This window comes from Homo sapiens, chromosome 18 (genome assembly GCF_000001405.40).
Source record: "Homo sapiens chromosome 18, GRCh38.p14 Primary Assembly".
In the NCBI taxonomy this organism is placed as follows: domain Eukaryota; kingdom Metazoa; phylum Chordata; class Mammalia; order Primates; family Hominidae; genus Homo; species Homo sapiens.
The window spans coordinates 59706993-59723351 of NC_000018.10; positions in this window are offsets into that span (position 1 = coordinate 59706993).

Sequence of the window (16359 nt, forward strand, 5' to 3'; positions counted from 1 at the left end):
TCTGTTTATTTTCCAGTTTTTCACAAATCCAGTGCAGTGTTGTTGTTGTTATTGTTGTTTTTGCTTTGTTTTGTTTTGTTTTCCTGAAACAGCATCTCACTCTGTGCCCAGACTGATGTGCAGTGGCGCAATCATAGTTTACTGTAGCCTCAAGTTCCTGGGCTCAGGCAATCCTCCTGCCTCAGCCTCCTAACTAGTTGGGACTACAGGTGCACACCACCATGCCCAGCTAATTTTTTTAAAAATATTTTTTGTGGACACCAGGTCTATGTTGCCCAAGCTGGTCTCGAACTCCTGGGCTCAAGCAATCCTCCCACCTCAGCCTCCTAAAGTGCTGGGATTGCAGGTGTGAGCCACTGCACCTGGCTCCATGCAGTCCTTAAAGCTTAAGCTCCATGCTTCTGGTTTCAAAGTTTCTGGAGTATATCACATCTGCCTGACAGGTGCAGCCACAGCAGCCCTCTGCGGGGCCCTTCTTGCTTCTTCCTGCAATGCCTCCTTCCACTCCCCTGCTGCTGGCCACAGAAACTGCTCCTGGCTTCTTCGTTATGTGAATGCTTGAGTGTTGCCAGCATGGGTGTGGCTTACAGGAGGCTCTTCTGTCACTGTAAGACAGAGAAGAAATACCTTCCACTACCTTCATTCATTCTTTTTTTTAAAGGAGCATTTACTATATGCTGGGCAATGCTGGGTGTAGGAGAAATTAAAGTAAATGAGAGGCCGAGCACAATGGCTCATGTCTATGATCCCAGCACTTTGGGAGGACGAGACAAGTAGATTAGTTGAGTCCAAGAGCTTGAGACCAGCCTGGGCAACATAGAGAAACCCCATCTCTACCAAAAAATGCAAAAATTAGCCAAGCATGGTGGTGTGCGCCTGTAGTCCCAGCTACACAGGAGACTGAAGTTGGAGGATCGCTTGAGCCTGGGAGGTTGGAGGTTTCAGTGAGGTGAGATCACACCTCTGCACTCCAGCCTGGGCAACAGAGGGAGACCCTGTCTCAAAAAAAAAAAAAAAAAAAGGAAAAAAACAAAACAAAACAGACATTTGGGGTCCTGACTTCCCAGGCACAAATAAAGTAAATGAGAGAAAAACTGTCTCCAAGGAGCTCCAAGTGTGGTGGACAGACAAGCAAGAAAACCTAAGCACACAAAAATCAGTGCTGCATGCTGGAGGTAAGCAGTTATAGGAGTTCAAAGGAAAAAGTGCTTGTATTCGTTTCCATAGGCTGCTGTAACAAGTACCAAAGCCTAGTGGCTTAAAACAATGCAAGTTTATTACAGTTCTAAAGGTCAGAAGTCCAAAATCAGTCTCAGTGGGCTAAAATCAAGGTGCTGGGCAGGGTTGTGTTCCTTCTACGGGCTCTAGAAGAGAATTGTTTGCTTGATTTTTCTAGCTTCTGGAGGCTGCCTGCATTCCTTGGCTCCTGACCCTACGCTCCATTTTCAAAGCCAGTGGTGCAGCGTCTTCCAATCTCTCTTTTCCTGCTTCCTTCATCCTTTCTCCTTCCCTGACTCTGACCCGCCTTTCTTCTTTTTTTTTTTTTTTTTTTTTTTTTTTTTTTTTTTTTTTGAGACAGAGTCTCGCTCTGTCGCCCAGGCTGGAGTGCAGTGGCGCGATCTCGGCTCACTGCAAGCTCCGCCTCTCGGATTCACACCATTCTCCTGCCTCAGCCTCCAGAGTAGCTGGGACTACAGGCGCCCGCCACCACGCCCGGCTAATTTTTTGTGTTTTTAGTAGAGACGGGGTTTCACCGTGTTAGCCAGGATGGTGTAGATCTCCTGACCTCGTGATCCTCCCGCCTTGGCCTCCCAAAGTGCTGGGATTACAGGCGTGAGCCACAGCGCCCGGCCCACCTTCCTTCTTCTTATAGGGCCTCTTTTGATTCCTTTGAGCCTACCTACATAACCCAGGGATGTTCCCATCTGAAGATCCTTTGCCGTGTAAGGTAACACACCCACAGGTTCTGGGGATTTTGATGCATACAGCTTTAAAGGTTATTATTTCGCCCGCTATGTGCCTTAAGTTAGGTTAGGGTAGGGGGGTGGCTTCAAAGAGGAGGTGTGCCCAAATGGAGGCGGAAGAATAGGGTATACAAAAGGTTCTGGGGCGATAGCGAGTCTGCCACAGACTGAGAACCACCAGAAGTTTGGTATGGTGGGAATGCAGTGTGTGGTATTGGGGGAAGGGTCAAACCTGATGTTGCAAAGAAAGGCAGAGGTGAAACTGAAGCTTATCTTGGGGTGGGGGTGGGGCATGGAACTAAAAGAATTTGGAAAGTTCTCAAGTGATGAGGTTGCATTTACACCTGCACTGTCCAGTCCGGGCCACCAGCAACCTGTGGCAAGTGAGCATATGAAACGTGGCCAGTCCAAATTTGAGATGTGCGGTAAGTGTATATGCAACAAGATTTCAAAAACTTAGTATGAAAAAACATAAAAATATCTCATTAAAATTTTGTGTATTAATAATTTGGGTATATTGGGTTAAAATTTATTAAATGTTTTCCATTCACCTGTTCCTTTTTACTTTCTAAACGAGGCCACTGGCACACTGAGTCTTCTGATCCCAAGTCAGATACCTTATTCATTAGTCAATGTGGTCATCACTGGCAAACGTAAAATTGCATATGTGGCTCACATTAGATTTCTTTTGGACAGTGCTGGTCTAGAGGCTTAGGAGGAAAACAAACTGAGGGGTTGAAACTGGAGGAGAACAGGCTGGACTAGAAGTGACATGGGCTGGAATTGTGCTGGCATGGAGGAGCAGGGAGGGATAGAAAGGAGCTCTGTGAGGGACCGTTGGCAGGACCTGGTGGCTGGGAGGCAGTCCAGGAGAGAGGGAGGGTCCAGGGAAGCCCCCAGTCCCATGATTGTATGGATGGTGGGAAAGGCAAGTTTTTTTTAGGTGTGTAGAATTTCAGATCCCTGGGGCACAGCAGCATCTCCTCACCAGCACTCCATACAGATGAAGCAGGGTGGCCCGGAAGCTCCTTCTCCAACCTGGTGCAGCTTTCGCAACCTGACTCGCTCTTTCAGTTATTAAGAATCAGCCAGCCAGCCCAGTGGCTCACTCCTGCGATCTCAACACTTGTGGAGGTCCAGGTGGGAAGTTCGCTTGAGCCCATGAGTTAGAGACCAGCTCGTGCAACATGGTGAGACCTTGTCTCTACAAAATATTAAAAAGTTAGCTGAGCATGGTGGTGCACACCTGTAGTCCTAGCTACAGGGAAGCTGAGGCGGGAGGATCAATTGAGCCTGGGATGTGGAAGTTGTAGTAAGCCAAGACTGCACCACTGCACTTCAGTCTCGACCACAGAGTGAGACCCTGTCCCAAAAAAAGAAAAAAAAGGAATCTGATGCACATTCCCTCAGGGTGGGATCTGGGAGACAATGTGAGGAGTGACTGTACCCTATAAGTTCCCCCAACCCCTGCTATAGTAAAACAATTGCCCTCCTCACAATCTCTCAGCCCCAGCTTTGGTCTCTCCTGCCAGCCACCCAGTGCATCCCTTCCTTGGGTGCACAACCCAGGATTCCAAGCTATGCGGAGACCACTTTCTCTTGTCACTTAATTGAAGTCTTGGAGCCCAGCCTCATCTCCATCTCCTCTAATTACTGCTTCCCAGTAACAAAACCCTTTGGGCCATGTCTGGGTGGTCCAAATTTTCTGAGTGTGATTCCTAGGGACACTCTCCATGAGTTCCTACACGTGTTTAAAAGAGCGGGCCCTGTTATTGTAAATTTACAAATGAGGACACTGACACCCAGAAAGATTATGTCTGTATGTTGGTGCATACAGAGCTAGAGTTTGGACCTCCTGGCTTCCAGCTCCGGGTTTTTGTTTTTTTCAGAATACCCATTTGTTCTCCTCCTATATTACAGAACAATAATGAAGTTACGAAACCCTTCAAGAGATTTTTAAAAAATCAGTCTCTATCCATCTGATATCCTAAATTCTGACACCTTTCAAATACTTTGTATCAGTCGTTCCTTAACTATTTGCAGCATAAATGAATGGATGAATGAACGCTTTGCACTGTCTTAGAAAACAGGAGCTATAAAACATTAAAGCAGGCTAGGCATGGTGGTTCATGCCTGTAATCCCAGCACTTTGGGAGGCAGAGGCGGGCGGATCAGGAGGTCAGGAGATCGAGACCATCCTGGCCAGCATGGTGAAACCCTGTCTCTACTAAAAATTCAAAAATTAGCTGGGCGTGATGGCGTACGCCTGTAATCCCAGCTACTCGGGAGGCTTGGGCAGGCGAATCGCTTGAACCCAGGAGGTGGAGGTTGCAGTGAGCCGAGATCGCACCACTGCAACTCCAGTCTGATGACAGAGCGAGACTCTGTCTCAAAAAAAAAAAAAAAAAAAAAATCAAAGCAAAGTACTCAGAAGGTGTTCCCTGAACATTTTGTTGGGGTGACAGCGTCATCATATGTTACAGCAGAACAACCCGTTAAAGATAATGGGTCTTCTGGTTTCCACCTGAAGGCTTAGATAAGACTTCATGAGTAAAGGAGTCCACTGAAATAAGTATGAATTACTGAGTCAGGGCACCCCACCCTACAGGTGAAGGTGCTGAGACTCAGAGCAGTCAGAGTCACACAGTACATTTGTGATTCAGACTTCCCAAGGTCCTGGTGTCTGCCTTGCACCCAAGCTGAAACCTTAACTAACAGAAGTGCAATTTGCTTTGGGAGGCTGAGGTGGGCGGATCACAAGGTCAGGAGTTTGAGACGAGCCTGGCCAATATGGTGAAACCTGTCTCTACTAAAAATACCAAAAAAAATTAGCCAGGTGTGGTGGCGCACACCTGTAATCCCAGCTACTCAAGAGGCTGAGGCAGGAGAATTGCTTGAACCCGGGAGGCAGAGGTTGCGGTGAGCCTAGATAGCACCACTGCACTCCAGCCTGGGTGACAGATAGAGACTCCGTCTCAAAAAAAAAAAAAAAGAAGAAGAAGAAGTGCAATTTGATTTATACTTCTGGTGCAAATCAGACTGGTATTCTGTCATTCACTATCAAATATAGAGTTGAAAATCGAATTGCATGGTTCTAATTCTTTCATGAGACTCCAATTATTGTCAAGATTTAAAAAGGACTCTGACTTCACCTAGGAATTAGTTGCTAGTGGTAGCAGCTAATAACGTGATGGGTCAGAACTCAAATTCTAGAGTCAGGAAGAGCCAGAAAATCACTTTACCTCATCTCTCAGCCTCTGTTTCTGCATCACAAAAACAGGAATAATAGCCATATCTATCTTCATTGCTTGTGGAGAATCAAATGACTTGATGTACTGAAAGCACTTAGCATGGACCCAGCACATGACAGATATCCAATTGTGTTTATTCTTCTGGTTATGATTAGGACTGTAGTACCTAAGGGTGGTGTGGGGGGTAGGGGCTTGGCCTTATTATGCTTCCAATATTTCCAGGTGTTTTTAAGAGCTCTACATGAAAAGAGTTATTTTCCAAATTACATGAAAGAAGATTGAATGGGCAGGTGCACGATGATTCACACTTGTAAAAGGTTTTGCGGTTTATTTCCCCATCACAGGGGATGGTGGGGTGCGGGAGCTGTCAGCCACTCCAGATGGCATCAGGGAGACGATTTGATAGGGAGGACTTCTTGAGCAGTGAAGAAAATCTATTAAAAGGCCACAGGGCCTTCAGGACGCCTCCTATCTGGTGTCTTTTTCCTGGAAATTCGCTATCAAGTGTCATTTCCAGATGAGATCAGGCACGTTCAAGGTGGTATGGCTATAAACGGGTGTCATTTCCAATCAAACCAAGTTGTCGTAAGAGGAGTTTCTTTTTAAGCCATTATCTGTCATCTTTGGCTTGTTAAGGCACAAGGATCTGGGAGCAGGTGTTGGTAGAGCAAGGAGAGGAAAGAGCCAGAAAACTTACTCATTTTTTTTTTAAGTCTCTAGGGCAGAGCTTGTTGATTGATGGTTTCAGGCCATCTCTCTTGAATGAATGAGTGAATGAGTGGTGTACTACCTTCCATGGAGAGGATGCAGCACAGCAAGGACCGAGAAGTCTGAGGCTACCAACCATCGGTTTCATTCCAGTCGATCTTTGTGTCCAAGATCGCTCTTTTGCGGATGAATGAATTGTGAAGTGAAGCGACCCAGTTGGACACACATGTAGCTTAGTGAAATTGTGTCCGGAATTGGTGGGTTCTTGGTCTCACTAACTTCAAGAATGAAGCCGCGGACCCTCGCGGTGAGTGTTACAGCTCTTAAGGTGGCGCGTCTGGAGTCTGTCCCTTCTGGTGTTCAAATGTGTTCGGAGTTTCTTCCTTCTGGTGGGTTCGTGGTCTTGCTGGCTCAGGAGTGAAGCTGCAGACCTTCGCGGTGAGTGTTACAGCTCTTAAGGGAGCGCATCTGGAGTTGTTCATTCCTCCCGGTGGGCTCGTGGTCTCGCTGGGCTCAGGAGTGAAGCTGCAGATCTTCGTGGTGAGTGTTACAGTTCATAAAAGCAGCGTGGACCCAAAGAGCGAGCAGTAGCAAGATTTATTGCAAAGAGCGAAAGAACAAAGCTTCCACAGTGTGGAAGGGGACATGAGCAGGTTGCCAATGCTGGCTTGGGCAGCTTGCTTTTATTCTCTTATCTGGCCCCACCCACATCCTGCTGATTGGTAGAGCCGAGTGGCCTGTTTTGACAGGGTACCGACTGGTGCATTTACAATCCCTGAGCTAGACATAAAGTTTCTCCAAGGCCCCACCAGAGCAGCTAGATACAGAGTGTTGATTGGTGCACTCACAAACCTTGAGCTAAACATAGGGTGCTGATTGGCGTGTTTACAAGCCTTGAGCTAGATACAGAGTGCCGATTGGTGGATTTACAATCCCTGAGCTAGACATAAAGGTTCTCTGAGGCCCCACCAGAGCAGCTAGATACAGAGTGTCAATTGGTGCACTCACGAACCTTGAGCTAAACACAGGGTGCTGATTGGTGTGTTTACAATCCCTGAGCTAGACATAAAGACTCTCCACGTCCCCACCAGACTCAGGAGCCCAGCTGGCTTCACCTAGTGGATCCCGCACCGGGGCTGCAGGTGGAGCTGCCTGCCAGTCCCGTGCCGTGCGCTTGCACTCCTCAGCCCTTGGGTGGTCGATGGGACTGGGCGCCGTGGAGCAGGGGGTGGTGCTCGTCAGGGAGGCTGGGGCAGCACAGGAGCCCATGGAGTGGGTAGGAGGCTCAGGCATGGCGGGCTGCAGGTCCCGAGCCCTGCCCCGCGGGAAAGCAGCTAAGGTCCGGCGAGAAATCGATCACAGCGCCGGTGGGCCGGCACTGCTGGGGGACCCAGTACACCCTCCACAGCCGCTGGCCCGGGTGCCAAGTCCCTCACTGCCCGGGGCCGGCAGGGCCGGCCGGCTGCTCCGAGTGCAGGCCCGCCAAGCCCATGCCCACCCGGAACTCCAGCTGGCCCACAAGCGCTGCACGCAGCCCTGGTTCCCGCTCGCGCCTCTCCCTCCACACCTCCCTGCAAGCTGAGGGAGTGGGCTCCAGCCTTGGCCAGCCCAGAAAGGGGCTCCCACAGTGCAGTGGTGGGCTGAAGGGTTCCTCAAATGCCGCCAAAGTGGGAGCCCAGGCAGAGGAGGTGCCAAGAGCAAGCGAGGGCTCTGAGGACTGCCAGCACGCTGTCATCTCTCAAAATCACCACCGCAAGAATCCAGGCATACCATGTTCCTTCCCCTCCCCTGCATGCACTAAAGCCCAACATCCTGAAAAAGACTACTGTAATGGGAGATTCCTGCATTTGACCTCAAAGCCCCAAACCCCCATGACTCTGAGGAGCTGCTGTACCATTGGTGACAGCTCCGTGGCTCTGTATTTATTTATTTCTCACTTCATGCAAAAACACTATCAACATTCAATCAAGTCTCAAAGAAAAGGGTCAGAAGGCAAGTGGTTTAAACTACCTAAACTAAACAATCCTTAGAAAAACTATTTTCTTTGTCTTAAGGTCAAACTGTTGTTCTCAATACTGTGAGCAAATAATAAATCAGAGTGAGCCGAGCTGTGTCGTTGCCATGGAAACCCCACCCATCCGGCAGCACTGGACCACCTCTCTGCGAATCCAGACAGTTGTGAAAAGTGTGAAAGTTGCTCCAGCTCATTGATAGGATGCTTCCCCAATGTTATGAAACTTGTAGCCCACAGTAACTATTTTGAGGCCGGCTTTATTTTTCTTTTAGCCTGAATTCCCTGAAATCCAAGGTCAAGATTAAGAAAACTTAGAGTAGCAGTTTAGGGGATTTAAGGAAAACAGCAAGACTTAGCATAAGCTTTCAAAATGCTGTCAATCCTGTAAGGGGAACTTTGGTATAAGAAATCTCCATGTAAAGAAACAAATTTGTTTTCCCCGAGATTAAACTGAGACCAAAACACATTTGAAAATCTTTTCCCCAAGCACTTATCACCTTATTTTTTCTCATGAGAAGGGCCTTTTCCCTGCAGCTGTCTGGATGTCCCTGAAAAGGCTATTATGCTGTTTGTGATAGCACTATCTATTGCCAGGCTGGTGTGCTGCTGCTGGACTGAGGATGGTCTGCACATTCTTCACGGCCTTATGACGTTGATGTGCTCCTGGGGAGAACACGAGCCTCCTGGTATCACTATCAAGGTTGAGCTTGTGCACCATCATGCCTCAGTAGCAATTCTGGCAATCCTTTATGGACTGGTCACTCCATCCCAAGCACTGTTCTCGGTGATTCGCTGGTGTTACATCATCCAGTCCTTACAATAAGCCTATCCCCATTTTCTAGGTGAGAAAACTGAGGCATGGGAAGGAACATCATTTGCCCGAAGCCCCACGGCCAGTAGGTGGTGGGGCCTGGAATCAGAAACAGGCTCTCTGACCTGGATGAGCACGTGCTCAGCCACTACCCCATCTGGCTGGCTCTCTTTTTACAAATCTAAAGTCTATTTAGCACAGAGAGTCACTGTCTAGGCTACTTTCCCTACAGAAACCTCCTTTGAGTCTCTCACCACCATTTCACTGATAGGTTCTGTCTCCCTAAAACCCTTAAAGATTCTTAGTGACCTCAGTTAGCCAGCAGGGCAGCCTGTGCTTTGCCTGCAAAAGAGTCATAGGGTTCCCTTAAGGAAAGAGGAAATGAATCAGAGGTTCATTCCATACGATGTCCTTCAGTGATTTCTTGCCACTCACAGTTAGTTAGCCAAGTTGGGTGATTTATGGCCCTGGTATTCTAAGAGCAGTCTGGTAGGAGCCAGGCAGCCTGGTGAGCTCCATGGCCACAGGCTGTGTGCAGAATTCCAGGCTACCATCTTGCAAATGCATAGATCTGAGGGGGGATCTTGGTGAGCAGGTGGAAATGAATGATTGCAGCCGTTACTAGAGCCAGAAAACAACTTCAGGTGCGCGCGGGGGTTAGGGATGTGCATGCAAACAAAAGGAGGACATTATTTACAAGAAAAATTTCAGGACCACTCAGGATTTGCCTAGAGCCTGAAGCCCAAGTTTAAGACTTAAAAGCGAGCTGGGCACAGTGGCTCATGCCTGTAATTCCAGCACTTTGGGAGGCCAAGGCAGGTGGATCACTTGAGGTCAGGAGTTCGAGACCAGCCTGTCCAACATGGTGAAACCCCATCTCTACTAAAATTACAAAAAATTAGCCAGGTGTGGTAGTACACACCTGTAATCCCAGCTACTTGGGAGGCTGAGACAGAAGAATCACTTGAACCTGGAAGTCGTAGGTTGCAGTGAGCCAAGATCATGTCATTGCACTCCAAACTGGGTGACAGAGCAAGATTTCGTCTCAAAAAAAAAAAAAAAGACTTAAAAGCAAGGAACCTTTTATATCTTTATGTTTGTTTGTTTGTTTGTTTTTTGAGACAGAGTCTCCCTCTGTCTCCCAGGCTGCAGTGCAATGGCACGATCTCAGCTCACTGCAACCTGTGCCTCCCAGATTCAAGTGATTCTCCTGCCTCAGCCTCCGGAGTAGCTGGGGTTACAGGCGCCCGCCATCACACCCAGCTAATTTTTGTATTTTTTAGTAGAGACGGGGTTTCACCGTGTTGGTCAGGCTGGTCTCGAACTCCTGACCTCCAGTGATCCACCCGCCTCGGCCTCCCAAAATGCTGGGATTACAGGCGTGAGCCACTGCGCCTGGCCCATTATATATCTTTGAATATTTCATTTAAGCCTTGTATATAATACATTCCCAACAAATGATTGTTGAATAATGAATAAAAGGGATCTATTTAGTGCATTATGGCATTCTTGTAGGATGTTGTATTCGGGTTCTCCAGAGAGACAGAACCAATAGGATATATACAGCATACAGATATATGAGAGGGGATTTACTAGGGGAACTGGCTCATGTGATTATAGAGGCTGAGATATCCCACGACAGGCTGTCTACAATCTGGAGATCCTGAGATGTCAGTAGCATGGCTCAGTCTAACTTGGAAAGCCTCAGAAGCAGGGAAACCAATAGTGTAATTCTCAGTCCAAGGCCAAAGGCCTGAGAATGCAGGAGGCCACTGGTGTAGGTTCTAGAGTTGAAAGGCTGGAGCAGCTGGAGTTCTGATGTCCAAGGACAGGAGAGGAAGAGTGTCTCCCAGCTCCAGGAGACAGACACATTCGCCTTTCCTTTGTTTTGGTTCTTTCTGGGTCCCCTGGCAGAGAGGATGACACCCATTCACATTGAGGGCAGATCTTTCCCACTGAATCCACTCAGACTCATGTGCTAATCTCCGCAGGAAACATCCTCACAGACATACCCAGAAATAATGCGTTGCCAGGTTTTTAGGCATTCCTTAATCCATTCAAGGAGACCCCTGAGGGCAACCATCACAGGCCAGGCACAGTGGCTCACACCTGTAATCCCAGCCCTTTGGGAGGCCAAGGCGGGAGGATTACTTGAGCCCAGGAGTTTGAGACCAGCCTGGGCAACATAGGGAGACGCCCATCTCCACAAAATATACAAAAATTAGCCAGGCATGGTGGTGCATGCTGTAGACCTAGCTACTAGGGAGGCTGAAGTGGGAGGATCGCTTGAACCTGGGAGGCAGAGGTTGCAGTGAGCCAAGATCACACCACTGCACTCCAACCTGGGCAACAGAGTGAGACTCAAAAAATAAAAATAAAGTTAGCCATCACAGATGTACATCTCCTACTTGTTAAATGATTCCACCCTGGTTGAAGGAAAGGATTAGATTACATTCATTTCACATGTCATTTATGAAGCTATTTGCAAAGTCTTATCATATTCATCGTCTTAGTCATCACTATCATCATCGTCGTTGTTGTAGTAAGGAAGACCAGCTGCTCTGGGTATGAAAACTGAGGGTTGGTACCCAACATTCCAGATCAGTGGGTCACTGCCACACCCAATTCCCCTCAGCTGTGCTGGAGGCTGTAGCATAGGTCAGCTGCCTTGCTTTGCCTTCTGTTTTTGATTTTCTGGTTCTCTTCTATTGACCCAGCTTCTGAAATCTTCAGAAGCTATAGCTGGCTTTCCTGAGAAAAAAATGCAAATAGCAGGAGGCTGTCTGGGTGTGTAGATGCCCTAAGATAAAAGACTTAACAAAACCACAGAGATAGAAAGAGGTAGCAAGCTAGGCAGAATACTGACCCCAGCCAGGCAGGAGCTGTGAGAGCTGGCTCACTGGGTGGGCAGAGTGCTAAGCAGAAGCATCTGAAGATAAGGGCTAATGGTCCAGACTGCAGCCAGCGCTAGGATGAGACTCTCCGCAGGAAACACCCTCACAGACATACCCAGGCTTGGGATTCTGTCCCCTCTCCATGAATCTGGGTCAGTGCTCATGGCTCAGTCAATAGTTGATTATTCACATCATGAACAGCTTGTGGGTTTCTAGACCCTTAGATTCCAGCTCTCCCTGAAACTCTTCACTGCTCAGTTACCTCACTAGACCTTCCCAGTCTAAGGGAGGGAAAGGAAATAGAATTAAAAATCCATCAGAGGCTTTCCCTATTGGCACAGTCCTGCCAGAAGGCGGAGTGGGAGAGGAGGTTAGAAGCGATGGTTTAATGAGGTGCTGTGATTGTTGGAGGTGGCCTGGTCCCCGCTGGGAAGTTACTGTAATCAGAGTGAGGTCTGCCAGAGGCGATGGGGAGCAGAGAGCCCAGGACTGGGTGGGAAGGAGATGTCTGTGCGCTCAGCACTGAACATGCCTCTTTGCAGGCAGCACTGCTTTGTGGGGGGCTATGGCCTCACTTTTAAGGATCAAAGTAGCAGAAACCTCTTGTGAGTATAGGAAAGGAACAGCGCCCTCCCCCATTCTTCATGGCCAACAAGTCCTTGAGCCTGAATGTCATCCCCTGTCCCCGATAAAACATCACGAGAAAGCCTTGACAAACAATGTGAGCAATGGTGATGATGTTAGTAAGCCCTTCTTCCCCATCCCTCTCATTCCCATCAGGAGGGCTATCCCGGCAGCTCCCTAATACCTCATATAATTCAATCAAGAGAGTCGGCTATTTCTTTATTTGATTTTATTTTTGCTTTTTGCGGAGAGTGTTTCTGTATGCAAATGATAAATTTCAGAAACAAATCAGAGAGGAACAGTGGTCCTCACAGCAGCTCACTGTGGCAGAGTTAAACCACAGCACTCTAACCTCAAAATGCATGCTTTGGCCATAGTCACAGCTGGCCAAAGTTGCTTCTAGTTACTCATCTTCCTCTAGGCTCCCAAAATGTTTTCCTGGAATATGCTCATGGGGAGTGGAGGAACGGGGATGTTATTTATAATCTCACAGAATCCTCATTCTCATACTGAATGCTTGCAGTGGTTACTTTCCACAGGAAGAATAACAGCTCATGTGAGCTGGGAGGAATTCGAGGGAGTTACTTGGCACCCCTGACACCCCCAACCTGCATTCAATTTAGAGGAGTCTTGGCCTTCTGAGGATGGGCTAGGGAGCAATGGCCCCATTGCACAAACCTGTCTGAGCCTTTGCTTCAGGGGATGCCAACCCTTTCAGTCTATACCCTGCCTTCAGCAGTGACATCATGGGAAACCTATAACAAAGGCAATGACAGGGATGAATTGTTCTGATCCAAGGTGGTGCTGCTTCCAGCATCCTGGATCCATAAATTTACTGTTCACACAACTAAGCTCACCCTGAATCAGTGATAAATTCTGGAATGCGCATTGGCTGCAGCCACAGCCACAGAATGTCTTCAACAAGGACAGAAGAGACAGATTAAGGATTATTTTTAGAGAAATGAGAATAAACGACCTAGGAAGAACTCAGGTTCTGGCACTGCCCCCGTAGGTTCATATCCATGTTGTACCACTTACTAGCTTGGGCCATAGATAAATTAACCCGTCTAGTCCTCAATTTCCTCATCTTTAAAATGGGAATGACAATAATTCCCACAACATAAAGCTACTGCAAGTTAGATAATACATGAAAGTCCTATAGGACAGAGCACTGGGCATATAAAAATGTGCTCAGCAAACACACAGTGTATATGTTTCCGTGAGTGTGCACTTAGTGACAACAGAAATTATAAACAAGCATCCTAATTTTATCCAACCCTTTAGGATCATAGAAAGTCACTTGGTTATTTTTGTTTCAGATTTTTATCTTAGAAAATGATGTGCCTACTTTAAGAATGGGGCAATTAATTCAATAACGTTTACATGGTAGCAATTAACAATTCTACGGAGAGGCATATTAACAATTTAAAATGTTGCCAGGTGCAGTGGTACATGCCTGTAATCCCAGCACTTTGGGAAGCCGAGGCAGGCGGATCACCTGAGGTCAGGAGTTCAAGACCAGTCTGGCCAACATGATGAAAACCTGTCTCTATTAAAAATATAAAAATTAGCCGGGTGTGGTGGCGGGGTGCCTGTAATCCCAGCTACTCAGGAGGCTGAGGCAGGAGAATCGTTTGAATCCCAGGTGGCAGAAGTTGCAATGAGCCGAGATCGCACCACTGCACTCCAGCCTGGGCAACAAAGTGAGATTCCGTCTCAAACAAAACAAAACAAAACAAAACAAAACAACAGTCCTGAATGAAGAAAAAATATATTTAAAAATTTTTAAAAAATATCTTAAGATTAATCCTAACCTTTTTAAGTGTCTTCTTTGATGAATTTGTTCTGAGTGTTTTATAAATCTGTCTCACCAGTGAGCTTATTTTACATGCTACACATTTTTTTCATACTACCAGGGGTATTCCATAAGCACAGTTGGTTGAATAAAGCATGTACAATTCAGCAATAGACAGTGTCTGTGTGTAACTGACTTATTACGTGACAGTCAATAAATGAGCTTTGGGGTATCCATAACTGCTTTCTGAAAGCTGCTGTGGGCAATAACTACTTATCAAGGAGAGCAATAGGAGGAAGCCCATGATTGACGCTCTCTTTGGTGATTCAGGACATTGCTGGTTGGCCTGCAGCTGAAATACACTGGGGCAGACTTTTCTAATCAAGCCATATTCTGGGAAAGATCTTCTCCTTTGGCTCATTTGCAACTGAGATGGGCTTAATTAGCCAAATCTCAGATTGTAAGAAGAGTTAGAAAAATCTGTCCCTTCTGGCCATATATCTTCCTATATCACACAATGCTGTTATCCTGCATCATATCACTAATGTTGAAACTCAGAGAAAGTTGGAAAATACCCAGAGAAAACAGTAATTAACTCAGGAGGTTACCTTAAGAATGTTGTGACCATCCTATGTAGAGATGCCGTGCTCTCAGAATGCTAACAGAACCTCTCAGAATGACATTCTTTAAGTTTGAAATTAAAACAGAGTAAGTGTTGGTAAGTGACCAAAGGGGAACTTTCCATTGTTCTATTAATTAAAGCCATTCCACAATTGCAGAAACATGTTTTTATTATTTATTCAGTTTCCAGCTAAGCAATAAGAACACATACTCTTATGGGGTATTTCATTTATTCAGAACTTTAGCTTCCCATTTCCTGGTGCTGTGGGTTGAATTCTGTCCTTCAAAAGGATACTTTGAAGTCCTAACCCTCAGTGCTTCAGAATGTGACCTTATTTGGAAATTGGGTCATTGTAGATGGGATTAAGATAAAGTCATACTGGAGTAGGATGAGCCCTTAACCTAATATGACTGATGTCCCTATAGAGAGGAGAAAAGACACACAAGGAGAGATGGCCATGTGATGACAGATTGTAGTGATGCATCCACAAGCCAAGGAATGCCAGTGATTTCAGGGAAACACCACAAGCTGGATGCGGCAAGGAAGGATTCTCCCCTACAGGCTTCAAAGGGAACATGGCCCTGCTGACGCTTTTGAAGTTTTGGTCTCTGCAAATGGGAGATGATACATTTCTGGTGGTTGTTTTTTTTTTTTAATTTTAATTTTTTATTTTTTTGAGACAGAGTCTCACTCTGTCACCCAGGCTGGAGTGCAGTTGCATGATCTCAGTTCACTGCAACCTCTGCATCCCGGGTTCAAACGATTCTTGTGTCTCAGCCTCCCGAGTAGCTGGAATTACAGGTGCACACCACCATGCCCAGCTAATTTTTGCATTTTTAGTAGAGATGAGATTTTGACATGTTGGCCAGGCTGGTCTCAAACTCCTGACCTCAAGTGATCTGCCTGCCTCGGCCTCCCAAAGTGCTGGGATTACAGGCATGAGCCACCATGCGTGGCACATTTCTGTTGTTTTAAGCCACCCAGTCTGTGGAACTTTGTTAGGGCAGCCTCGGGAAACCAACACACCTGGTTTGTACATTTCTTTTAACTCAATTCAATGTCAGTTTGTAGGATATGAAGGGCAATTTGGGTTAAACATTCAGAACTTAATCCTTAAGCCATTTGTATCTGCTAATACTCGAAGCCTCACAACATGTAAGTATTCTATACATCCGAGGTGGCCAGCCAGGGACATGTGAGTCCTTAGAACTCTACGTGCTGCCCTGGAAGCACTTAGAATGGAAAGCAGCTGACATTATAAACTGTCAGATTTCTGTGATTTAAGGCCTTAATACATCTCTTAGCTACATAATCACCAAATGAAGTATTTATCATACTGTCTTTAGAAGAAAATCACTAGAAAGTATCACTGGAAAGCAAATATTGCTATTAGTTCCAGAATAATAAATAAGCCAGGTAGAAACCTTTAAAGAACTATTGAGACTTGTATTGGCCCTGATGAATTCTGGTTCCTATTTTGGTTAACTTTACCAGAAATAGTTTTTTAAAATGACTATTTATGTGAAAGTTGAATAAAACCAGAATTTGATCAATATCTGGGATATACTCCCATGGTCTTTAATGGTTTTTCAAAGATGTGCATTACTGGCCAGATGCAGTGGCTCATGTCTATAATTCTAGCACTTTGAGAGGCCAAGGCAGGTGGATCCCTTGAG